At 42.8% G+C, this 27,473-nt stretch overlaps 1 long non-coding RNA gene across 4 annotated transcripts in view; it reads right to left on the bottom strand.

The window, feature by feature from the left end:
- LOC105378464 (uncharacterized) overlaps positions 1–26,754 on the bottom strand; it is a 57,847-nt gene extending 31,093 nt beyond the window's left edge. For 2 of the 4 annotated variants that reach the window (XR_946282.2, XR_946283.1), the window contains exons 1-3: positions 26,677–26,754; positions 8,100–8,343; positions 3,701–3,785 (exon numbers count right to left, since the gene is read on the bottom strand). This is a non-coding gene — a long non-coding RNA (uncharacterized LOC105378464). The remainder of the gene's footprint in view (positions 1–3,700; positions 3,786–8,099; positions 8,344–26,676) is intronic. The other 2 variants (XR_007062285.1, XR_946284.1) reach the window with 1 other exon arrangement.
- Between the last annotated feature and the right edge of the window lie 719 nt (positions 26,755–27,473).

Here is a 27,473-nt window from a genome sequence, read left to right as displayed (position 1 = left end):
CTGGTCCTCAAACTTGGGTTTCCTGTTCCCAGGCCAGTGTTCTTTCTACTGTGTCAGTGGAGACCTTGTTAGAAATGCAGATTTCTAGGCACTCCTCTCAGATCTTCTTTAGGGACCCGGAATCAGGTACCCAAAGTAACTGTGGTGATTGTGACTCCAGGGACCCAAAGATGACACTGCTTCTGTGCAGGTTGAATCGTATGAAACACCTGACAGTTTTTGACCTCCAAAACCACAATTTCATGTTCGATGTAATAATATTCTCTTGGGTATAAAGCACTAAGTATGAAAGAGGAAGAGACCCAGGGAAGAGATGATGGCTCTCCAAAAAAAAATTAAAATCTGAACAGAAGGATAATCAATGGATGCCTAAGTGGAAATTTCATGAAGACAGAGAGAGCTTCCTTTTCTGGACCAAAGCTGCCCTGAGGTGCCAGGGAGGTTTTGGGGTGTAACCAGCCATAGCTTTGTCCTCAACCCTGAAAAGGTTATAGCAATAATAATCGTGTTTAAAGTTGGTATTTTTTGAGAGGTTGCGCTTTCCAAAGACCACTTTAGGCACAGGTATTAACTCGTCCTTAGAGCAATCCTATTATTATTGCTCTCACTTTACAGTTAAGGGAACTGAGACAGGGAGAGGCTAAGGAACTAGCCCAGGGTTAGGGTTAGGAAGTGGTGGAGACTATTTCTGCACCCACTACACTATTTTGAAGATGTTCCAGGGAAAATTGGATGACATTTGGCAAGGACTTTGGAAAGTCATCTCCTGCATGAAGTGAACAGTTGAATAAAAGACCTCCAAAGAAACTTCCAATCCTGGTGTTTTAGGAGTCTAGGATTCTGAGAAAGGGGCTCCAGTAGAGGAATGCTTCACCACAGTGTCTTTTTACCCAAGCACTCTCCTCCCTGCCTTCTTCCTACCTGCCTTTCGTTCAGGCACACAGTGTTCTTGGGTGGACTTACAGGGGTTGATCTAGAAATGAGGGGTTATGAATTCCCATTTATTCTACAGCTAATACTGTGCTAGGCACTACTGTACCCACATAAGGCATCATGTGTATATACTCCTCCTAACACCTCTGAAGTGGGTACATGCCCTCATTTTACAGACAAGGAGACTAAGACATAAGAGAGGGCCCTGGCCTTAGCTCGTCAGTGACAGAGCCAGGATCGGGAACATGGGTCTGTTTCCAGAAGCCTTTGCTCTTTCAGCAAAACCACAGAATGCCTAGGAAGGTGGCTGCAGAAAAGAGCTGTCTCTTCCCTGTTCTTCTCCAGTGGGGTCTGAGAGCCCAGTGGAGCTAAAGGCAAGGAACGGAGTTTTTAAATTCTTTGTTCAGGCTGCTGCAAAAGGCAGGTACCTTCCACACCCTCAGCCCCTATATCAGCTAAGCCCACAATCAGATGAACTTATCCCTGGATGTTTCAACATACTATGACCTATCAGAAGGCATGCGGTGGGATAAACCATGTGTCTTCTCCAACTTTAATTGATCAACAAACCTGGAAAATCACAAGAGTCTGTCCAGACAGTCCAACAACAAATAAAAGGAAGATCAAGATGTGCATTAAACATTTAAAATCGGGACCTAGCCCAGCCCTCCCGAACTGTTCTTCTCTTCAGGTGGGATTAATAGAGCATTTGCTGAGCCGTCAGCTCCCCTTGCCACTGAGTGAGAACCACTTCCCTGCAAGGCCCAGGGAGCAGGCACCTCTCCAGCATCCTAGCTCTGGTTCCTGCCACAGCAGGGACAGATGCTGTTTCCTTTACTTCCCTTATAATGATATCATTTACCTTGTGGGTTCCTTTGGCTGGTTTTTGTTTTATATGCTACAGGAGTTCTGAATTAGCCTCTCTCCTCTACCATCTGCTGATGAGAATGACGACATTTGTGAAAAGCAGCTACAGAGCCTCTTTTCCCTCTTTACTTAAAACCAATGAGAAGGAGATCTGGGACCTGGGCTCCAGACCAGACTCACTGCTTCTCCACCATGGGGCACCAGGGCCAACTAGCATCTGGGATTTTACTATTAGATAAGAAAAGATACCACAGTTCTGAGGCCAACTCCACTCACTGGCTCCAGCTCCTGAGTCCCCTCTCCGGCTGAGCTCTGTCTGATAAGGCCATGGCCACCCCATTCCCCCTTTCAAATGTCTGCAGAGCAAGGGGCCTGGCACCATAAGCTTGGCATTTTCCCAAGGACAGTGAGGGTGGCGGCCTGGATGGTATTGACAGGCCCAATATTTTAGCCATGTTTTCCAGATTGTGTTTTTCAGAATATTCATTAACAGATGTTCAGTTTAAGTGTCCCTTGATCAAATAAAATTAAACAATTCCACTCATAGTTGTTTACCCAAGGGAAATGAAAATACACAGCCACACAAGCACTTGTACACAAATACTCATAGTGGTTTTATTCTTGATCACCTAAAACTGGAAACCACTCAGACTTGGGGAGTGGATTCACAGTGACACATCCGTGCAGTGAAATACTACTTGGCAATAAAAAGGAAGAAACTATTGATAAACACAACACAGCTCAACCTCAGAAAACATCATGCTAAGGAAAGAAACCAGAGACACAAAAGACAACTTACTGGATGACTCCAATTGTTGTGAAATTCTAGAAAAGGCTCAACTCTAGTTATAGAAGACACAGATCAGTGGCTGCCAGGGGTTGCACGTTGAGGAAGAGAATTGACTATGAAGGGTCATGAGGGAGTTTTTGAGCTGATAGAAATGTCCTAGACCTCAACTGTCATGTTGGTTACCTGAGTGTGTACATCAAAACTGATTAGACTGCACCATTAAAATGAGCAAGTTTTATTGTATGTAAACCATACCTCAATAAGACTTATTTCTTAAAAATCCAACAGGTTAAAACTCACAGGACCTCCTAGAGCCTTTAATATGACATTACGCATTTTATTTATTTAATTATTCATTTATATTTATTTTGAGACAGAGTCTCACTCTATTGCCCAGGCTGGAGTGCAGTGGCATGAGATTGGCTCACTGCAACCTCCACCTCCCAGGTTCAAGCGATTCTCATGCTTCAGCCTCCCAAGTAGGTGGGACTACAGGCATCTACCACATCCAGCTAGTTTTTGTATTTTTAGTAGAGACAGGGTTTCTCCATGTTGGCCAGGATTGTCTCGAACTCCTGACTTCAAGTGATCTGCCTGCTTCAGCCTCCCAAAGTGCTGGGATTACAGGCATGAGCCACCATGCTTGGCCAACATTGTGCATTTTAAATCTTTGAGGAGGAGCTATAACATCCAAGATTTCCCAAATTCACTTGACAAAGAATTTAATAAAAGAATTTTAGAAAACACCTGTTACACTCTTGGGGAAACAAGTAAAAACATGCATTAGAGAATTGCCAATTTGGATAAAGCAATGCCCTCTTCATTGTTTCCTTTAAAATTCAAGTAGCCTTAATACAGGAGCACATTCAGCCTGACACCTTCATAGGAACTTGTTTAGGAGGCAATTTCTTGCGGATCGGAGGTCCAGGTGTTAGCAGGAGCACACTGGGTGAGGAAGAGGGTACTGGGAAGGGAAGGGGGAGCCAGAACCTGACTGGGCTCCCTGCAAGCTGTGGTTACCCATCCTGAGAGGCAGTCCATCAGATGCCAGGGAAATGAGTCAGAGATGAGTATTGTCCCTGCCCTCCAGGAGCTCAAAGCCTCACTTACTCTTGTCAGGAGCCGTTCGGTCCCAGGATTCCATTGCCCATGCTGTTGTCCATGATTTTTCTCTCTGGCTTCTCATTGCCTCTTCCTAGGAGAAAGGAATGATTCTCTGGCTCTTGGGTCCTGTACACTCCTGCAGACCTCCAGCCAAAGTGGTCACCAGCTCTAACTGGCAGGCTGTCCCCAGGCTCACTGATCACCAGAAGGGATCCAGCACTGGCCTGGGGAGTTGTGGTGGGTGGCAGCAAAGGAAGACAGTCTTCTACCTCATTTCTTCTCAAACCATATCCAAATCCAAATTCTCCCTACTGCTGGAGAGGCCTGCCCTGTGGCTCTGAGTCATGAGAAAACCAGACATAAGCGAGCATCACAGGGACAGCTGGAAGGAACATGCCAGCTTTATCAAGTGGACAAAGCCCTGTCCAGCCAGCTCTGCTCCTGCTGCCGCCTGTCTCCCTCCTCCCTCTCTCATGTCTCCCTGACATGGCCCGCTGGCCCCTGTCCAGAAACAGCTGTCTCCAGGGAGGCAGAAGGCACCTCCAAGATTGGGACCGCTAAACTGTCTAATTCCAGAAACTGAGCTCTTAATTGCTGCACTATACTCTTAAGTTCCATCCTCCCCCTCACTGAGGAAGGAGGCAGACCCAGGAGTATAAGAGACTCTCCTGACCTCTTTCTATATTCCATGCACCTTGCCATCATCCAGCCACAAAAGATCCCTAAGCTTCCGAGGCTTAGAAACAAAAGTACACAGGAGACTGGGCCAGAAGCAGTAACACTGACTGCCCTCCATCTCTAGCTCCCCTGATTTCTCAAGGGATGTGGTTAGAGAGGGCAAACAGAGCCCCAGGACATTCTCTGAAACACACCAGGTTGAAGGGAACTTTGTCCGGCTGCCCATCACTTTCTACACCTGCCTCTGGGTGAGAGATTGGGCCCACCTCCCTCTATGGGAGCCCACACAGTCACACTCACTTCCCTCGGCTCTGTGGCTGCCAGGCCTTGGACCACGACCTAGGCCCACAGTGAGATGTATCCATCCCAGACCTCACACATGAGCCGGGAACAAAAAGAATCAGGAATGGCAGAGGGTTTGGCGGCAGGAGCAGCCTCTAGTTTCCAGGGTGGCGGTGCCTCCAGGGTTAGCGAGGAGAAACTATGGTGTCCTGCGCTCAGCAGTACACAGTGATGTCCTCACCAGCCTGGTTCTGTGACATTGGCCGCAACTGACCTCCTAGTTTTCCTAGATCCTGGTAGCTTTCTGAGACTGGTTCTAGAGCCTCCTTACAATTCTTTCTCTAATATGCTTTAAATCAATTTCATTGCTACTGAGAATGCTGACTCCCATCACATGCAATACCCTTTGCCTCTAAATTAGCAGTTGTCAAAGTTTTTGGTCTCAAGACCCCTTTACACTCTTGTTTTTTTGAGACATAATCTGGCTGTGTTGCCCAAGCTGGAGTGCAGTGGCGCAATCTCACTGCAACCTCCATCTCCTGGTTTCAAGTGATCCTCCTGCCTCAGCCTCCTGAGTAGCTGGGATTACAGGCACCCACCATCACGACTGGCTAATTTTTGGTTTTTTAGTAGAGACGGTGTTTCACCATGTTGGCCAGGCTAGTTTCAAACTCCTGACCTCAGGTGATCCACCTGCCTTGGCCTCCCAAAGTGCTGGGATCACAGCCATGAGCTACTGTGCCCAGCCCCCTTTACACTCTTAAAAATTAAGAACCTCAAAGAATTTTGTGTGGATTATATCTATTGATATTTACCATATTTGAAATTAAAACCAAAGCATTTAAAAAAGACACTAATTCATTAAAAACAATAAATGTATTGTACCTTAACATAAACGTGTAACATGTTAATATAAATTAGGTGTTTTTTTAAAAAATAACTATATTTTCAAAAATTTAAAAAACTAGTGAATTGAGCGGCATTGTTTTGCTTATTTGCAAATCTCTATATTGGCTGGCTTAATAGAAGTCAATTGGAGTCATATGTCTGCTTCTCCATTCAATCTGTTTTGATTTCACACATTGTGTAGACTTTGGATAACTCCACTGTTCACTCATGACAGAGATTTTAAAAAGACAAGTGTTTTAGCTTTATGATAAAAATAACCCATGTGAGTTTCCAGAACACACTTTAAGAATCACTACTTGAAACCTTCCAAACTAATTTAAAGGACTGACAAGCCTGCTAAAGATCAGGGCTAAGCTTGTTGAGGAGTCAAATGGCCATGGCACTTTACTGCTGATGAGAAAGTGGGAATACCAGCATCAAGCAGAAGCAATCACACCCCATCCCAACCAGTTAGTTCCAGGAGGACAGCGCACCAATTCTGTTTTGTTCACTGCTCTATCCGCAGAGCCTGGAACCCCTGGTAGGCACTCAATAAGTATGTGTCGAACAAATCGTTGAAATAAATGCATCAATGTATATGTGTGTGTGTGTGTGTGTGTGTGTGTGTGTGTGTGCGCGCGCGCGCGCGCGCGCGCGCATATATAAAGATTCTATCAAAAAAAATTTAATAGAAAGATAAAAGGAAAGTACAGAGACCTTGAGTGAAAAACCACATCCTGGAACACCCAGCCTCCAGAATAGCAACCAGACAGGCGGCACCTTCACAGCCATTGCTGTACCTTGCTCATCTGTTACCCTTGCGACCCTCAGCTGCTCCCCCTTTGTTGGGTAAATGATCACAGAGTGAAGAAATGGCTTATTCTTCAAGCACCGCTCCTGTCACTTGTGACTATCAAGTGGTTGTAATCCTCAAAGCTATAGAATTTGTGAAGAGGCCAAGAAATTATCTAGTTATTTCCAATTTCTTTCTTCACCACAGAACCATTATTTCAAATGGAACCCTTACACCACCCACTGCAGGAGAAAGTGAGGTCTTGCCCCAGATGAGGCAGGAAGGGAAGACCAGAGCTGGATGGAATCCGCCTCCTCCTCATCTTCCCCCTCTCCCCACTAGGCTCAGCCCCATCCCAGGAGCCACTAGCAGCCACAGCCCACCCCAGACACATCCAGGAGGCACACATCCGTGGCAGCCCCTGCTTCCAGGTGGGCTAAGGCTCAACCTCCTTCCCATCCCCAGACTCTGTAAGATACCCGTTGTGTCCTTAAACATTTCCTATTTGTTGCTTAAGCCAATTTGAGAAGAGTTTTGTCACTTGCAGCCAAAGTGGCCTTAATCTAGTTACTGGGCTCTCCCAGGTCCCCTAAGCTCAGCACTCACCCAGATGAGCCCTGCTGGGAACCTGTGAGCTGAGGATGGAGGAAAAGACAACAATAACAACCCATGACCTCTAGCTGACCAGCATGTTCCAGCCTATAGGTCAGGGGTCTTTCACACTAGATGAAATCAAAGTTAACCCCCTTACCTTTCTTCCAGCAAATGAGAGATGGAGAGAATTTTTAAAAAGAACACTTTCATTTTTGGCAAGATCTAAATGCAATTATAGCTCAGTAGATCCACGAGAAAATTGACAAGAGCCAATCCTTTGCACAAGGTGTGCTCTGATTTCATGCCGTCAAATTATTTTTTAAAGGGCATTAATATCACAAGCTGATGACTTTTAGCCCTGAGCAAATGATGCATTTTAATGTTTCTTTACACATAGCTCTCAGCCCAAGTGAAGCTGTCTTCGGCAAAGCATTAGCAAACATTTACATTTCAAAACTCAACAGAAGGGTTATTGTTAGATATTTCTTTTCATTTTTTTCATATATGCCCCGACAGATAAATCATATTTCACATGTTAAGTGGTGTGTAGCATTCCGTTTCTAACCCCTGGCAGATCATTAGAAGATAGTGGCACCTACTTTTCAGGCCTAAAATCTAAAGATTGATTTTGAAAGGGAGGAAGAAATACAATGGCATCATCGAACACTGTTACTTTCGTGGCAGGCAGGCTGTTTTTGAAATGATAGTGTGTTTTCAGGTTTCTTTATTCCTCTGCACAAGGGAGGGTGCCAGACATTTGGTGCCTCGTGCTATGTGAGGGTCAGAGCAGGATCATCAGAGCAAACAAAGCCCAGTGGTTAATGTTTTGTTTTCCAGGTGGAGCCTAAGCCAAAATGAGCAAAACTAGGGATGAATGAGGATTAGGATCAATAGGGAGTAGGGGCTCATTTTTCATTTTATAAACTCAAATGGATTCAGAGTTGCAGAAATCAAGGTCTTGAGCATGCAGTCAGGAGCTGCTGCATTGTAAGTCATCTTACAGTACAGTCTAGACTCTGGAGCAAAGTTGTCAAACGTATCCTAGTGTAATGGTTTGAGCATGCAAATTCTGCAGTTGGAAAGGTATGGGTTCAGTGAGACCTTGTAGAAGCCACTGCACCTCTGTAAACTTCCATTTTTCTATCTGTAAAATGGGAATAACATGTTTACCTGTTACTTTGGCTTACTGTTAAAATCCAAGGTGATAATCCATGTGATGCGGTTGGCATGGCCCCTGGCTCATTTTACCTACACAATAAGAACTGTGGGCTCTTGTCATCCTTCCTTTGTAAAAGAAGCTTCCCGTCCAGGCCACTCCACTATCTTCATTGCTTGTGTTTACTTCTCTCCCCAGATCGACTGTGCACCCTCCTGCAAACCTTGCAAGCCCTTCCAAGAAGAATTTGAGCTAATCCTTTGGAGAAGAGAAACAATAATAACAGTTCTAAAACAGGATTGGAGTCATGGGTTGTATAATTCTATACCTTTACTAAAACTCGCTGAATCGTACATGCACAGTGGAGGAATTTTATGGGTATGTGAAGTATATCTCACTAAAAATAAAAGAATAACCGAAAAGGGAAAGTTGCAAAGATTCGAAGAGATTAGTTGATAAAAATTAACAAATGGGTTGAAATCCCCCATTCTTGACTGCTCCTCTCATATCTTTTCTTTTTTTTTTTTTTTTTTTGAGACAGAGTCTCACTCTGTAGCCCAGGCTGGAGTGCAGTGGCACAACCTCAGCTCACTGCAAGCTCCACCTCCCAGGCTAATTTTTTTTTTTTTTAGTAGAAACGGGGTTTCACCGTGTTAGCCAGGATGGTCTCAATCTCCTGACCTCGTGATCCACCCACCTCGGCTCCCAAAGTGCTGGGATTGCAGGCGTTAGCCACGCACCCAGCCCATATCTTTTATGCAAAGGCCACCTGACATGTCTGCTTATCTCCCTTAACCCTTCTGCTCTGTGTCCCTTAGATGGGACAGCCCATTGAGACTCGTAAAGCAGGAGACCCACCACGTCTCCCTCAACAGAGGAAATCTGCTTCCTGCTCTGGCTCACCTTTCCCTCCCCAGGTGACATTGATGAGAAGGAACTCAGTGGACATGGATGAGCTGGGGAGTTCCATGAAACTCAGACTTGGGTCTTGTTACTGAGTTGGGGGAGAACCATGAGGAACACAAGGTCCATTTTACCCGATGTTTGTGTGACCTGCCCACTTATCTCCCACACACTCATTCCTCCAAAATATTTATCCACCTTGCTTCTTCTTTGGGTGCACAATGGGCCCCAGTTAGCAGTAATGGAGATGACTTTCTCTTGAAAAAATGCCATTTGCTGTGATGTTTGCTGCTCCCATTCTTTTGAGAGCAGTAGACATCTAGATGTGGCTGCAAGATGGCTCTTTGACATCCCCAAGTCATCTTTCAGATGCAGAGTGTCTCTGCTCCCTCTTCAGTCTCCATCACTGACCCACTGAGGTGGGCGCAAACCAGCTTGTATCAAGGTGACCATAAATGGAAAGAGAAGACAGCCCTCCTAGGTATTTGCAGAGGACACACCAACCTTCTCACCTTTCTAGAAGCTGCCCATGGCTCTACTCTCCACTCTGGAACCCCACTACAGGTCCTCTCCCTTGCATTCAGATTGTACCCTGGACTCCAATTCCCACTTCCCACAGCTTTGCTCCTTGCTTGTGTCCTACTGAGTGTTCTCAGGATAAACAAGGTGGTTTCTTGCTGGGGTTTTTTTTAACAGCCCCATCAGCAAAGTTAACACAAGGCAAAGGAAAATCACCAGCCCAACATTGCAAACAGAAAGAGCCTAGGAAACTTCTCCCAGATTCTGTCTGTCTAAAGTTTCCTTCCCTGGGTGACTTCCTGATGAATGGACACCTATCTCCTATAGACCTCTCTCTGATCATCCTCTTCTCCCTCCAGCCAGGGCCCTCTTCCCAAAAAACCCCCTCTCCTCCTAATTGTTAGCCCATAATGAGATTAAGTGTCTAAGGAGTTTCTGGCCTCTGTGCCCTCTAACTAGGGCTTTTCTGCCTTTGTTGATACCTCCAGCTCCATGCCTGCATCCCCATTACCCAGAATCCTCTGACTGGGAGGCATGGCAACCATCTCTGGAATCCCAGGGGCCAGTCCTGCACCCCTGCTGTATTAGTCCATTTTCATGCTGCTGATAAAGACATACCTGAGACTGGGTATTTATAAAGAAAAACAGGTTTAATGGACTCACAGTTCCACATGGCTAGGGAGGCCTGACAATCACGGCAGAAAGGGAAAGGAATGTTTTACATGGTGGCAGGCAAGCAGAGAATGAGAACCAAGTGAAAGGGGTTTCCCCTTATAAAACCATCAGATCTCGTGAGATTTATTCACTACCACGAGAACAGTATGGGGGAAACTGCCCCCATGATGCAATTATCTCTCACCGGGTCCCTCCCACAACACAAGGGAATTATGGGAGCTACAATTCAAGATGAGATTTGGGTGAGGACACAGCCAAACCATATCACCTGCTTTCTCCAAACTGATGACAGCCCCATCTGATGTTCAGGTGTCCAAAACAGCTCCTACCCTTGTTGAGAGTGTGCCCATTAACCCATCACCCAGGTGGCACCAAGGAGTACCTGTCTGTGTTCTCAGCAGGCTGGAGGAGGCCCTCCAGTCACCCTCCCCTGAGGGGTCAGTTCCAGATTCCAGGAGACAAGCAGTGAGCACAGTGAGCAGTTTTCCTTCAGCCTCTCATCATATCAGCTCTCCTCCAGAACAGCTTAGGAACAAAACCCAGGGTGATCTGAGCATGCCCTACCAGTCTCCCTCATGCCTTCCACTTCCAGCCAGCCATGGACCAGCTCACTCATAGCCCTCTGCCTCCCTCTCGGGTCTCCCCTTCTGGGGAGCTGCTCTCTGTTCCTGCAGCTGCCTCAGCAACTCCTGGAGAGTGGTTTGTAGCCAGCACCTACAATCGCTCAAGACGGGTCTGCCCTGAAGGCCCATCCTCACAGCAGGTGCAGGGGAGGCTGACTCACCCATAACTCCCGCTAATTGAGCCTCTGCACTCCCCTGGTTTCATTGGGTTCTGAGTAATTATGAAAGGAAGACCTCAAGCCCTTGCTGTGGAGTCTCCATTGGCTGGTGAGTTGTGAATGGGGAGGGTCTTATTGATCAGGTTCTTATTGGAGCCCTGATTTCTCCTTTGACTGAAGGATCTGTCTCAGGAATGGCAAATATAGGATTCAAAGGCTGCCTCTCACCCCTCCAGTGCCTGAAACAGACATCACTCATGGATCTCAGCACATTCTCCTAGCTCAGTATTCTTTCCTGCACTGCACTCCTGGCAGCCGCTATGACGGTGGCTGGCACTCAGTGGGTGACCTCACTGGCCTCCCTGCCTGGGTGTGAGGTGCTCTACCATATGCTGCCTGGGATCTGCACATATGAAGGCATGATTTTTTTTCTTCCCTCAGATAATCTATTATTTAGTTGGGAAAAAAAACAAGATCTGTTGGGTTAAAATGATTTTTTTTAAAGAACTAGACATTTGGGTTGACTAATGCTTTTTTTTTCTTGAGGGAAGGAAGGCTAAAGTATAGTGGTGTAACCAGGGATGACCAATACTTAATGAATGCCTGTATGAGGCAGGATAAGACGTAGATTTTTCCCTAATGGTAATCAGTTAAGAATGTGGGAGACACCTTGGAAACAGCGACTGAATCACACAGACCCAGTTTAAATTTCAGCTCTACTACTTTGGAGCCACGTTACCTCCTCTTTCCTAAGTCTCAGCTTCCCTGTCTATGAAATGGGAGCAACAATATCTGAAACATAGGGCTGATGTGAGTATTAAATGAAAAAAAAAAATGAAAGTGCCAAATTCCTACCTGTAGCCCTGGCCTCTCCCCTGAGCTCTGACTTGTAAATCCAGCTGCCCGCCAGGCCTCCCCAGGTGGGAGCCTGCAGCATCACACACTTGCCATGGCCGAAAGAGATGCCAGTTCCCTTCTGAGCCTGGTCCTCCCACAACCCTTCTCCTCTCATTCAGTCTCACCACCATCCACACCCCAAACCTGAGGGTCTCTTGATTCCCCCCTTTCTCACTCACATTGCCGGTATCAGTCCACTAGTAGCCCTGCCAGTCCCAACTCCAGTGATGTCCTAAGTCCATTTGCTTCGTTCCATCTCCACCAAGGCCACTCTAGGCTCTCTGGACTTTGCAATGGCCCCTCCCTCTACTGCACCCACACCTGTGCTCCATGGCCTGTTCCTCACAGAGCATCCCAAGGTAAGACAGGTCACACTACCCGCGGGCTTGGACTCCTCATGGTACTTGGAATAAAACCCAGACCCCCTTCCGTGACCTCCACAGTCCTACCGAGGTCCTACTAAGCCTCAGCCTACCTTCCATACTTGACGTCCTGCCACACACTCCGTGAAGGACTGATTAAACAAATGCCTGCTTAATATGCATTAGTCTCCATCTTCCTTTGCTTTCTCGAAGAAAAATGAAAACATTCATATGGCACCTCAGGGTCCTGATAGGGATCTGAAGTTTACCCCACCTTGCGACACTTCCCCACCCCCCTGATCAATGGAAAAATTAGGGTCATCGCCACCACTGCTAGTCACAGTTTTCTACCTGGGGCTTAAGCTTTGTCTTCCAACATCGTCCGTTCTTCTAAGTTCACACTGTTTTCTTTTCATTGTGCACCTATGTGCCACCACACCGCAGAAAAAGCAGGCAAAGCAAGACCTGCGGAAGTAATGAAAACTCTTTGGTGCCCCCTTGTGGTCATGTCTGGTTAGCCGGCGGAGACGGGACTGTAGGCTGCTCTGGCGTCTCTGCAGAGCGGAGCCTGAAACTGGAATAAGAAGTCTTTCCAGGTGCCAATCTTAGAGATGTACATCCTCCACCCCCAGGAAGAGGCATCCAGGTAGAAATGCTTGACAGTCAACTTCTCTAAGTCTCAGATTCCTGATTGTTAAAATGAGTATAATGATTCCTTCCCAGCCATCCGAGGAAGGGTATTGTGAAGCTATACCATGAGATCTGTACTTTTTCTGTTGCTTTAAAAAAAAAAAAAGTGTATTCCAGTACTCAATCTTCACAAATTCTACAATGTTTCTCCTGCCTCTGCACCCCTGTCTGTTCCTACGAACTTTCTGTAATCCCCAAATGAGTCAGGCAGGATGGGAGTGAGGACGTGCTTGAGATAATGTGTCTGACAAAGAGGTGCCATATGCTGCTCGGCGTCATACGAAAATGTACCAGAGAAAATGTCAGCGGCAAGACTCGGCAAGTGGTGAGGCAGAAAGTGGGGGTGCTGCCATCTCCTCCCCCCTCACACCGCGCCGGGAAGCTCGAGAGCAGACACTGGCTTCTGGCATTGACAAAGGAATGGGAGGCCGGGTGAAAAGTCAAGTATCTGTGATTACGAAAATTAACCCTAATCTCCTGAGTTTCCAACTCTTTTAGAATTCCTATCTGGAAGACATTCACCTTTGCACCCAAGCCTACCGAAGTGTTTGTACCAAAGAGGTACTTAATAAAGAGGCAATGTATGAATGAATGAGTTAATAAATGAGTGCATAAACCTGATTTCAAGGAAAGGTTGGCGACGTCTACAGCCTCCCACTCTGAAGCTGCTTGCTTGCTTTCTATTTCTTTTTCTCTTTTTCTTTTTTTATTTTTGGAGTCTCTGTCACCCAGTCTGGAGTGCAGTGGCATGATCTCAGCTCACTGCAACTTCCGGCTCCAGGGTTCAAGCAATTCTCCTGCCTTAACCTCCCAAGAAGCTGGGATTACAGGCGCTTGCCACCGCACCTGGCTAATTTTTGTATTTTTAATAGAGATGGGGTTTCACCATGTTGGCCAGGCGGGCCTCGAACTCCTGACCTGAAGTGATCTGCCTGCCTTGGCCTCCCAAAGTTCTGGGATTACAGGCGTGAGCTACTGCACCTGGCCCTGAAGCTGCTTACTTTCTAGCCCTACCCAAGCCCAAGGACACTGTATCTGTCTCCTGTAAGGCTCAGCTTTTTCTACATGTCTTATTTTGAGTACAGTAAAAAAAGGATCATGGCTGATTTTGTCATAAATGCCTGGATCCTTTAAATCCCTCTCTCTGCACAGCTAATTTTGCATTGTCTGCTATCACATGGTTTTAATCTGATTAAAGAAAATCTGCCTAACAGTAACAGTGAAAATGGACAACTTTTTCTTCCAAATAAGTAGTTCTTAACTCTGGCCGACCATTACAATGGGCTGGAAAGCTTGTACACACATAAACACACACACACACACATACACACACACACACACACACACACCTCAACAGTCAGGCCCCATCCCAGACCTATTAAATTGAAATCTCTATGGCTCAGGACCCGGGCATCGGCATTTTTGAAATCTCCTTAGCTTATTCTAATGTGCATCCAGCGTTAAAAACCCCTTCCAAGAATGCGCTGGCCTTTGCCCAGAGAGCACAGACTCACCAATTATAAATGAAACAAAAGCAAGATTTTATGTTGCCTCCTAGGCACCCTCAGGCCCAAGCAAAGAAAAAAAGGAAGATTCTCAAGCCCAGGAGTGATAAAGAGTTCGGTGTTCACTCCTTCTTGGATATCTTGCTTGTTAATGGCCAAGAAGGGGAGGGGACCCCAAAAAGCTGGATCTGCCTTGACCAGGTTAAACAGAGAGAGCAATTTGGGAGCAGGTTCCAGCAGATATGATGGCGTCAGCATAGGCTTCAGTGTGGTCGTGACAGTGCAGTCTGGCTTGCGTCATGGCGATGGGGAAGGGAGGGTGGGTGTGGGGGCACTAACTGGGTGGAAAGTGGGCTTTCAATGCAAATAGCCAGACATTCAGGGGATGCTGCCTGTGCATAAGGAACCCACTGTTCATTTACAATTATGCTTTCAAAAGCCACTCATATATTTCACACGCGGCACATAAACCTAAATTCAATCTGCTACATTGTAATTTCTTGCTTTTAATTTAAGGCCTCGGGGCTTTAGCTAATTTAAGGGACAATCTGGTGATGAAGAGGAGACCATCTTTTTACAAAAAACATCATTAGCATAAGGCACTGCTCCCCAAATTTAGAGCCTAGTGGTGACTTTCCAAATCTTACCTGTACTTGAAGAGCCTTCTAAGCTCTGCACCTTAACCACATAAAATAAAGTCCATCTACCAGGTAGCAAATCATGGCAATGTGCATCTCTTATTTTCCACCAAACCGTTTGTTCATTTAAAGTCTCTGCACTCTTAAACATTAGATGGCAGCCTTTGAAATTGCAGAATAAACATGAGCACGATTCGTCCCTTTACTGGGCTCAAACAGTGATCTGAGAGGCGTCCTGGTGGTGCTCCGAGAGAACAGCAGTCCTCACTTCATCAACAAGCCCCAAGCTGAGATCAGAAGTCCCACCCCAGGCTCGGGTACCAATTGCTTGTCACTGACAGACAGGAGTATCGACAGACCGGTCCTTTGTGTCTGATGGAAACATGAGGGAGACAGGCTCGGGGAAGTGAAGGCACTGGCTCAAAGGGAGAGAACGCTGACTGGAGTTTCTTGGGATTGCATCAGCCAGATCCAAGCAAGTGTTCTGAGCCTGAGTGTCCCACACAGGGCAAGGCCTTCAGACAAACTTTTGACCATAGCGAAAAGTAAGTTACAGTCACTGACACTGATTTTCTGAGAGCTCATCACTGGGATCTACTGCACAATAGCCTGGACTTTCAAAAAGCATCACTTCCCTTTGTCTCGCCCTCAACTCCCTATCCTCACCTACTTCCCCCTCTGTCCTTCATAAGTGCCTGCCACATAGAGGACACTCAATAAACATTTGTAGCAAAGCTCCCAAATCGCAAATAAGCAACCCTCCATTAGAAAGCTAACCCAGGCAGGGCGCGGTGGCTCACACCTGTAATCCCAGCACTTTGGGAGGCCAAGGAGGGCAGATTGCTTGAAACCAGGAGTTCAAGACCAGCCTGGGCAACATGTCAAGACTCTGTCTCTTCAAAAAATACAAAAATTAGTCAGGCATGGTGGTGCACACCGACTACTCAGTAGACTGAGGTGGGAGGATCATTTGAGCCCAGGAGGTCAAAGCCACAGTGAGTTGTGATGGTGCCACTGCACTCCAGCCTGGGAGACAGAGACTCTGTTTTAAAATAAAAAAAGAAAAGAAATCTAACCCATAAAACAAGAGAGAAAGAAATCCAGCATACATTCTGTTCTTTTATGGGAAGATTTTTTGTCCAGATCGCTTTTACTCACTGTAAGCACTCAATCTTAAACAATCATAAACTCCCTAAAGAGTGAAGAAAACAGGCGTTGCTGAAGCACTGTCTGCACATGGCTGAGTGGCCCTGAGGCCCCAGAGTGGGGAGCAGAAGTCTTGGCACCGCCCTTGTGATTAAACGGTTCAGTGAGTGAAAGCCTCCTATGTGTAAGTCCTGGTAATTCTTCCACTTCCTTCTTCTATCAAAGAATGGGATTTAGTGAAGAAATCTCTAAGACAGGAAGACAAAGATGAACAGGAGGTGGTCTCTACTTTGGAAGAACTAACGTGGAGATGGAAAAGATGGGTGTTTGTTTATTTGCTCAATAAAGCACCTACCGAATATCTGCTGTGTGCCAGGCACAAAACAGACACGGTCTCTACCACATCAAATTTAGAATTTATGGAAACACAAAGGAATCCACTCATCTCACAGACAACTGTGAAACTGCTTCTGAGGCAAATGCGAAAAGGGAGATGTACCCGGTTAGAAGCACCCATGACAGGCAGATGGAGCCAGGTAAGAAGTGTCCATGACACAGAGCTGGGGCCCAGTGAGAGGTGCCCATGACACGGACATGGGGCCTGGCCAGGCTCTCAGCAGAACCCCAGGCAAAGGACATTTGAACAAAGGTCTAAAGGATGAAATGGAGAGAATGTGGTGAGAGGGGTTGAGACAGTGTTCCAGGCAGGGGGAACCATCTACACCGGAGCTTGGGGCACTATGCAGGGGCCGCCAGTGAGGCAAGGAAAGCTGGTGAGACCCTGGACCCCGAAGGCCCTCACAAGTCTTGTAAAAGTAGTTGGGGATTCTCTCCTAAGGGAATAATGTTAGGTTTTTATTGGTGGAAAGGTGCAGAAGTGGGGATTGGAGGTAACCTAATCAGAACTGTTTTTAGAAAAGATGACTCTGCTGCTTGGAGAGTGGATGGGAAGAGGCCACAATGATGTGGGCCAGCCAGGACAGGGGTTCCATTTATGTAACCATTAAGTGGAGTTGGGAGCTGGCCTTTTAGGTAATCACTGAAGATGAAAATCACACGTAATTAACATTATCCTCAAAAATTCCTTAGCCATTAAAAGTCAGTAAAGTGACATCTCCAGTAGGCCCAGCCCAGCCAGCATTGGAATTGATCACCGATTCTTTGACGGAGCCCCCGATTAAGGTAGCTGTGTTTGGGGTCGAGGTTGTAAGATATAGATTAGATGAGCTAGCTAGCTAATGGTTCAACACTTGGTTCTCACCCAGCTTGGAGAGATGATCCCCCGCCTGGAAGGCTGTGGGAACCAAGCCTGAGCAAGGAACAGCAGATTCACACCTTTGATTTCACATTCACTGCAGGGTACATTCTCTGTGAGTGCATTAATCGGCTTGGGCTGTCATCACAAAATGCCAGGACTGGGTGGCTTACACAACAGAAATCTCTTCTCTCACCATTCTGGAAGCCTAAGACAAAGGTGTCAGCAGGGTTTGTTTCTCCTAAGGCCTCTCTCCTTGGCTTGCAGACGGCTGCCCTCTCACTGTGTGCTCACCTGGTCATTTGTCTGTCCACAAGCATCCTTGGTATCTCTTTGTGTGTCCAAATATCCTCTTCTTATAAGGGCACCTGTCAGTGTGGATTAGAGCTCACCCTAAGGACCTCATTTTAACTGAATTGCCTCTTTAAAGGCCCTGCCTCCAAATAGAGTCACATTCTAAGATACTGAGGTTAGGGTTTCAACTTACAAATTTTGGGGAGATAGGCAAAAATCTCTCTCTCCCCCTTTCCCCTTCCCTCTCCCTCTTCTCTCTCTCCAGTAGGTAGCGTAGCATTGCATTGCTGAAAGGTCAATGCACACACCAAAAATATGGGCTGTTTCAAGGCACAAGGCCCATGCCGACTAGATGGCAGGTATGGTAAATGGCTCACATTCAGAGGACAGTGAGTACACAGAGAACCAAGAAGGCCGACTGGTAGGCACAACGGCAGGTGTGACTTCTGAGGGCACATGTGAGAAAGGTGTAGACCTCCTACCAGAGTGGACAGTGCATAGAGGAGCAGAAATTATTGAGTCCCTGGGATGTGCCCAGGTGTGTGTGTGCTCAGAAGCTAGAGCTACTGATAGCAGCAGAGTGTTCATACCGTGGAAGCAGGAGACAGATTGGCTGGAGGCAAAGTTGGATTGGGTCAGTCCTTAGAAGGCCTCCAATGCTAGAGCAGGGAGCATGGGCTTCACCATGTAGATATTGTTAATACATTCAGAACATTAGAGTCTAGGGATGGCACAGTGAGGGAGGAGAGGGGGACTGCTTAATACAAGCAGTCAATCAGAGATATCAGAAGGTTGCAAATAGCTGTAGACTTCAGGGTGACATAAGACTTCCTGCAATGTTCTGCTCAAAGTCAAGGTCAGAAATAGCTATTATGATCTCAGTCTGAATACCCTGCCCCAAAACACCAGCACTGTCACATGACTCACCACCAGCTTCAAGCCACTAATCAAAGTACAAAAAAACTGACCTCATGCTGACAAAAATCAATTTCTGCTTTGCCCTTTGCTTTTTACAAATGATCTAGATTTTTCAAGTGCAGTAGAAGAAATAAGGTAACTTTCCCAATAAGATTATTCCATGCAAGAAACAGTCTCCTTTTCAATAAATAGTTTTAAACCATTCTCCCTGGTTTCTGAATCACACTACTCTCTGAAGATATATAAATATCAGGTAACACTTTTATTTCCTGGGAGTGGGGTGCTTTGGTTTAATAAGGAGGAGAGAGGCAGGGTGATAGACTTCTAGAGATGAAGCAAGATCTATTAGATCATCTTGGCCATTTCACTAGGCCTGCCTGAGATTGCTCCCAGCTGCATTGGCATATTCACTGCTGCTCAGGCTAGTCCAGTTTTAAATGATTTAAGGGTAATATATTAAGGACTCATGACTGGCTATAAAGAGGTGCTTCTTCCTGAGACACCAGCAAGAGTTTCACTGTAATTGTAGATGGATGCTCATCCTACCAGAGGTCGGAAGGCACCTTGCTGTCCTTCAGGCCATACCACATCAGGGCCACAGAAGTCATGACCATCTGGACAGTGGTCAGCATCCAAGGAAAAGTAATGCCATGTGCATTTATCAAAACCTGAAAGCAACCATGGGCTTTGCTGCTGAATAAAGACCTGCTTTCTTAGTGTAACAGCACTCAGTACATACATTGTCATTCTGTTTTGTTTTAAGCCTGATTTGTATACTAGATGGGATGCAGACCTCAAGCAGCTGGGCCTGGTGTTAGGGTAGCAGGGTGGAGTAGGACAGACATAGTCACCTTCTCCTCTTCCCTATCAAGCGTGCATATTGCCCCCTGTGAGTCCTGGGAGCGATCCATCACAAGCCTGGGTTCTCCAGAACTAGGAAGATCCTAAGTTTCACACCACCCCACCAACTCCACCTTGGGCCACAGGATAAAAATGCGGTGAGTACATTTTAACCATTTGAAAGCCTTGGTGGTATGACCCAGGGTTAGAAATAGAACAGGCAAAAAGAAACAGGGTTACTCAACTAAGGAACTAAAGGCCATCAATAGTCTCTACACAAACCTTGGAATTATAATAATCACTAGATTTAGCAAGCACTTATTACACACGAGACACATACACAATCTCTCCTTTATTGGTAGCATCCTAGGGTAATTGCTTTTATTCTTATTTTACAGGTAGAAAAACTGAGGTTTAGGGCAGTTAATTTATCCACCCTTATTTTCATAGCCCTCTCCCTGACCCACTCAAGTAGCAGTGCTTCAGCCACTCTTAGACTTGCTGTCACTACTCTTCATTTGGATCACTGTGGCAGTGGCATCCCATGATATACGCAGATAGGAAGACCTGGACTCTGCTGTGGGATTTATCTGCTACAGGAGAAGTTAAAAGTCACATCTCCCACTAACGTCAATAAGGCCTTCTTTATAGTAAGAACAGGAGAAATTCTTTCCAGCCTCAGTACCTGATATAGCTGCATGTCTATTGAGCAATTAGTTTCTTTTTTATCTTCAGAATTACAAAAACCTAAAACTGATGAGATTTTCCTTTTTGCGTTAGCAGCTAGGAAAGTTAGGGATAAATTTCTATCCCACTTTTAGCAAAGTGTGCAAGACATTCTGCCATGCAATTGCCATGTAACAAAAATAGAAAACTGGTTTTTCTTTTTACTTTTATTACTTCTCTCCTCCTACCCCTACTTTCCTCACTTAAAATATTTTTTCTCTTATTGGCATAATATGCATTTTTATAAGTCACAACAAGTAATTTTTGAAATGAGATGAGATACAAATGTTTTAAAAAATAAAAATATTTAGAGAGTGGTCACAAAGGTGTGTATGCGTTATGAAATGCAGAAATTCATACAGCTACACACTTATGAATTATATACCTTTATGAATGCATGTTATACTTCAATTTAAACATTTATTAAAAAGCAAAACTGATGGAGTAGGTATCTCTAAGAGCTCATCCCTCTACAGAAATATAAAAAAAATCAAGGAAAAACCATCAGAGTTATTTTGTTAGAATGTTGAAAAACACTCCAAACTTTATAGCAATCAGGTAAATGTGGAATAAAGAGAAAGGCAATTTTAAAGTTGCAGAAAGCCTTTGTGATTTTTTTTTTTTGAGACGGAGCCTCACTCTGTTGCCCAGGCTGAAGGGTTCAAGCGATTCTCTTGCCTCAGCCTCCCGAGTAGTGGGAATACAGGCACATACCACCACACCTGGCTAATTTTTGTATTTTTAGTAGAGACAGGGTTTTGCCATGTTGGCCATACTGGTCTCAAACTCCTGACCTCAGGTGATGTGCCTGCCTCAGCCTCCCAAAGTGCTAGGATTACAGGCATGAGCCACCGCACCCAGCCAGCTTCGTGACTTTTTACTTGTGCTTGCTCCACCCTCTCCCCAGCTTGGCAGCGATCTTGAAGACATTAGTTCTGTGTTCCCGGTATGGGGCCCTAGTCCCTGGTTCTGAGGGAGGAGAGCAGACCTTACTCACAAAGAACTGTGTTTGTCTCTTCTATCCTGTCTCGGAGCTACATGAAGGACTGAAGCAAGGTGCTTGTCTTTGTTTAGCCTAATTTGGAACTCACTCAGGGTGGAAAAGACAGTGATCATTTATTGGAAATATTGTAAGACAGATGAAGAACCTGCAGCCACCTGGGGCAAAATATTTCAGTTGATGCATACAACAGAGTGCCTAAAGCCTGGAAAGAAAAGCTGGGGAGAGCATTTCTCTGGGAAATTAGGACATTCAAAAGCTCCATGCGTATTGGGTATTTAAGAAAACCACACACGTTCCCAGAGTAAAACTCATGCTCAGAAAAAGCCTGAGAAGACCCTAAGTTTGTACTTCTGGCCAATCTCTTAAGATCAGTGCAGGCAAGTACTTAAGGCTAATGTAAAATTTTAAATGGCCTGACTAAGCATTGAAGGAATGTCCTAGTACAGAAACAATCTGCCAAGAATAGGAGAGATATTTTTTATTTTTTATTTCTTTGCTTTTCTCTTCTCTCCCGCTCCCTGTCTCTCCCTCATGCCCTTTCTCTCCTTCTCTCTTGCCCCTCCCTTCATGCCTTTTGGCTCCTGGCATTCAAGGAAATCTTCATCAAAACACTAGCTCAATGCAAGCAAGGAACAAAGACTTCAGAGACCATGCATGACAAAGAATACAAACTTTACAAAAATAGTTTAGAAAAATCACTGAACAAATAGATAAAGCCTACAACAAGCAATAAAAACAAATTCTAAGGAGAACTAGATTGTGATTTCCATAATTACCAGATTACAGTATTCAAATTGTCCAGTTTTAACTAAAAATTATGAGACATTTAAGGAAACAAGTATGGCCCACTTACAGAAGAAATGAGCAGCAACTTTCCCTGAGGCAAAGACATTGAACGTATTAGACAAAGACTTTAAAGCAACTGTGTTAAATATGCTCAAAGAGCTAAAGGAATTAACAGACAAAGAGCTAAAGGAAACTAGGAGAACAATACATGAAAGAGAAATCAATAGAGACAGAAATTATAAAAAGGAACCAAAAAGAAATTCTGGAGCTGAAAAGTGCAATAATTAAAACAAAAAACATACTAGAAGTTTTCAATAGCAGGTTTCAGCAAGCAAAAGGAAGAATTAGCAAGCTTGAAGACAGATCATTTGAAATTATCTAGTTTAAAAAGCAAGAAAAAATTGGAAAAAAAATTAACAGAGCCTAAGAGAAACATTCAAGTGCAACAATATACACAAAATAGAAATTCCAGGAGAAAAGAGAAAAAAAGGCAGCTGAAAGTATATTTAAGGAAATAACATCCCAAAACATTCCAAAATCGGTAAAAAGACAAAAATCTACATGTTTAAGAAGCACAGTGAATCAAAGAAGGATAAATGCAAAGAGATTCCCACTAAGATACACTATAATCAAATTGCCAAAGACAAAGAGAGAATCTTAAAAGCAGAAAGAGAAAAGTGACTCATCATGTACAATATATCCTCAGTAGAATTAACAGCTAATTTCTTATTAGAAGCTAGGGAGATCAGAAGGGAAAGAAATAACTTTTTTTTAATGCTGAAAGGAAAAAAAAAATCCCCTATCAACCAAGAATTCTATATCCAGAAAAGAAAAATTAAGGCATTCTCTGAAAACCAAAATCTGAGAGGGTTTGTTGCTAGCAGAGTTGCCCTTTAAGAAATGATGAAGGTAGATCTTGAGGCTTAAATGAAAGCGCACTAGACAGTAACTCAAAGCAATATGAAAAGGTAAGGAACTCCAGAAAAGTTAACTAGAAAGTAAATATAAAAGCCAATATACTGGATTTTGGTTTATAACTCCTCTTTTTATTTCCCACATAATTTAAAAGACAAATGCATAAAACAATAATTATAAATCTACATTATTGAACACTCCAAATGAATGTAATGAATAAAAAATGTATTTAGTGACAACAACAACATAAGGTGGGGACAGAGATGCTTAGAAGCAGAGATTTTGTATTCTATTGAAGCTAAGTTGATATCAATTTTAACTATACTGTTACTATATTTTTATAAGTGTATAATGTTAATCATAATTCTCTGATAATCACTAAGAAAATATCTTTTTAAAAATACACAAAAGGAAATGTGAAGGGGATCAAAATGTTACAGTGTAAAGAATCAATTAAACACAAAAGAAGACAGTAATAAAGAAAATGAGGAACCACAAAGACATAAGACATACAGAAAAATAGCAAATTGGCAGAAGTAGGTCCTCCCTTGTAATTAATTACTTTAAATATAAATGGATTAAATTCTATAATCAAAAGGCAGAGATTGACCAAATAGATTTTTTTAAAAAATCCAACTATATGCTGTCTACAAGTGACTCACTTTAGATTCAAAGACACAAATAGCTTGAAAGTGAAAGGATGGAAAAATAATATTTTAAGCAAATAGTAACCAAAAGAAAGTTAAGGAGGTTATACTAATATCTAACAAAATAGACTTTAAGTCAAAAACTATTACAAGAGACAAAGAAGGACATTATATATTGACAAAGGAGTCAATGCGTCAAGAATATGTAGCAATTATAAACATATACACACCAAACAACAGAGCTCCAAAATACATGACCAAGCATTGACAGAATGAGAAGAAAAAATAGACAATCCTACAATAATAGTAGGAGACATCAATATACCATTTTCAGTAGTGAATGGAACAGCTAGACATAAAATCAATAAGAAAATAGGGGGCTTAAACAAAACTACAAAGAGCTCGACTGAATAGACACAGATAGAACACTTCCCTCAACAACAGCAAAATGTATCATCTTCTCAAGTGCACATAGAAAATTCTCAAGTATAGACCACATGTTACGCCACAAAACAAGTCTCAATAAATTTATAAGGATTGAAATCATACAAAATATTGTTTCTAACCACAATGAAATGATGCTAGAATAACAGAAAGAAACCTGGAAAATTCACAAATACGTGGAAAACAACATACTCTTAACCAATAGGCCAAAGAAGAAATAACAAGAGAAATTAGAAAACACTTAGAGTTAAATTAAAATGGAAAGACAACTTACCCAAACTTACAGGATATAGTTAAGCAGTGCTCAACAGGAAATTTATAGCTGTAAGTGTTTACATTAAAAAAGAAACATCTCAAATCAATAACCTAAATTTACATCTTAAGTAACTAGAAAAAGAAGGCAATACTAAACCCCAAACCAGAAAGAAGTAAATAAAGATTAAAGTTAAGATAAATAACATAGAGAATAGAAAAATTAGAGAGAATCAGCAAAACCAAAAATTGGTTTTTGAAAACATCAACAAAATTGACAATCTTTCAGCTAGACCAACTAAAAAGAAAGAAGAGAAGACCCAAATAACTGAAAATAGAAAGTAAAGACATTACCACAGACCTCATGGAAATAAAAAAAAATACTATGAACAATTTGATACCAAAAAATTAGATAAACTTAACATAAAGTACAAATTCTTAGAAACACACAAATTGACAAAACTGACTCCAGAAGAAATAGAATCTAATCAGACCTATAAAAAGTAAAAATTGTAAAAATTGAATCAGTAATTTTAAAGGAATAAATAAAACAAAACTCCCAAGAAGAAAAATTCAGGACCAGATGGGCTTTGCTTGTCAATTCAATCAAACATTTAAAAAAGAATTAACAGCAATCTTTCTCAAACATCTATAGAAAATACAAGAGGAGAGACCACTTTCTAACTCATTCTATGAGGATAGCATTACCCTTATACCAAAGTCAGAAAGACACCACAAGAAAACTATAGGCTAATAACTCTTATGAACATAGATGCAAAAATCTTTAAGATACTATCAAACTGAATCAAATAGCATATTTAAATAATTATAAAAATTCCATGACCAAATGGGATTTATCCCAGGAATGCAAAGGTGATTCAACATAAGAAAATCAATCAATGTAATACACATTAATAGAACAACAACAAAAAAACTGAACCACTTAGTCATCCTAACTGATGCAGAAAAAGTAGTTGACAAAATCTAACATTTTTTGATTTTTAAGAAAATACTCACAGAAAAGTAGGAATAGAAAGAACTTCCTCACATAATAAAGGGCATTTATGAGAAAACCACAGCTAACATCATACTCCATTACGAAAAACTGAAATCTTTACTCCTAAGATCAAGAACAATACAAAGACTCCTACTTTTACTACTGTTATTCGATATTGTACTGGAAGTTCTATACAAAGCAATTATAAAAGAAATAAAGCATAACCATCAATAGCATTTCTATACACTAACAATGAACTTTCCAAGAAATAAATCAAGAGGGCAATCCCCTTTATAATAGTTACAAAATAACATATAATACCTAAGAAAAAATTTAACCAAAGAAGTGAATTACTCACTGAAAACTATAAAACATTGATGAAAGAAATTGAAGAAAACACAAATAAATGGAAAGATATCCTATGTTCATGGATTGGAAGAATTAATATTGTTAAAATGTTCATACTGTAATACCCAAAGCAATCTACAGATTCAGTGCAGTTCATATCAAAATACCAATGACATTCTTCACAGGAATAGAAAAAAAAAGTCCTAAAATGTATATGGAACCACAAAACAGCCTGAATAACCAAAGCAATGTTGAGCACAATAAACAAAGCTGGAGGCATCACACTACCTGATTTCAAAATATACTACAAAGCTATAGTAGTCAAAACAGCATAGTACTAGTGTAAAAACCGACAAATAGATAATTGAAGCAGAATTAGATAATCCAGAAATAAATCCACATATGTATGGTCAATTAATTTTTGACAAAGTTGCCAAGAACACACAGTGGGGAAACGACGGGCCTTTCAATAAGTGGTGTTGTCACAAGAGCATAGCCACATGCAGAAGAATGAAATTAGATCCTATCTTATACCATATATAAAAACTAACTCAAAATGGATTAAGACTTAATCATAAGACTTGAAACTGTAAGACTACTAGATGAAAACATAGAGGTAGAATTTCATGACATCAGCATGGGCAATTATATTTTACACATGACCCTAAAAGCACAGGCAACAAAAGCAAAAATAGACAAGACTACATCAAACTAAAAAGTTTCTGCACAGCTAAGGAAATAATAAACAGAGTGATGAGACAACCCACGAATTGGAAGAATGTATTTGCAAACCATACACCTGATAAGGAATTGATATCCCAAACATATAAAAAACTCAAACAACTCTATAGTAAGAGAACCAGTGACTGATTTTAAAGTGAGCCAAAGGACCTAAATAGACATTTCTCAAAATAAGACATATGAATGGTCAACAGGTATATGAAAAAATGTTCAACTTCAGTAATCATTAGATGTCTCAGTCTGTTCCTACTGCTGTAACAGAATACCTTAGACTGAATAATTTATAAACAACAGAAATGTATGGCTCACAGTTCATAAGACTGGAAAGTCCAAAATCCAGGTGCCAGCAAATTCTGTGTCTGATGAAGACTTGTTCTGTGCTTCAAAAATGGCTGTGTGCTCACATGAAGAAAGGGATAAGGGCGGTCCTTTGATTCTCTTTTATGAGGTCATTAATCCCATTCATGAGGGTGAAGCCCTCATGACTTACTCATTTCCCAAAAAACCCACTTCTTAATACTATCACAGTCGGTTTTAGATTCTAACATATAAATGTTGAGGCACACATGAACATTCAGACCATAGCATCAGCAAAATACAAATTAAAACCACAATGAGATATCACCTCATACCTGTTAGAATGATTATATCAAAAAGATAAAAGATAACAAGTGCTGGCAAGGATGCGGAGAAAAGAAAACCTCTGTATACTGCTGGTAAGAATGTACATTAGTACAGATATTATGGAAAATAGTATGGAGATTCCTCAAAAAATTAAAAATAGAATTACTCTAGAATCCAACCACTCCACCGCCAGGTATATAGCCAAAGGAAATAAAATCAGTATGTTGAAGAGGTATCTGTACTCCTATGTTCACTGCAGCATTATTCACAACAGCCAAGATATGGAATTAACCTACATGTTCATCAAGGGATACATAAAATGTGGTATATATATACATGATGGAATACTATTCAGCCTTTAAAAAGAAAAAAATCCTGTCATTTGTGATGACATGAATGAATCTGGAGGATATTATGTTAAGTGAAATAAGCCAGGCACAGAAAGACAAATACGGCATAATCTCACTTACACGTAGAATATA

Source organism: Homo sapiens, chromosome 10 (genome assembly GCF_000001405.40).
Source record: "Homo sapiens chromosome 10, GRCh38.p14 Primary Assembly".
Taxonomy (NCBI): domain Eukaryota; kingdom Metazoa; phylum Chordata; class Mammalia; order Primates; family Hominidae; genus Homo; species Homo sapiens.
The sequence above is the reverse complement of the archived record's forward strand: the minus strand, read 5'-3'. Positions and strand labels throughout refer to the sequence as shown.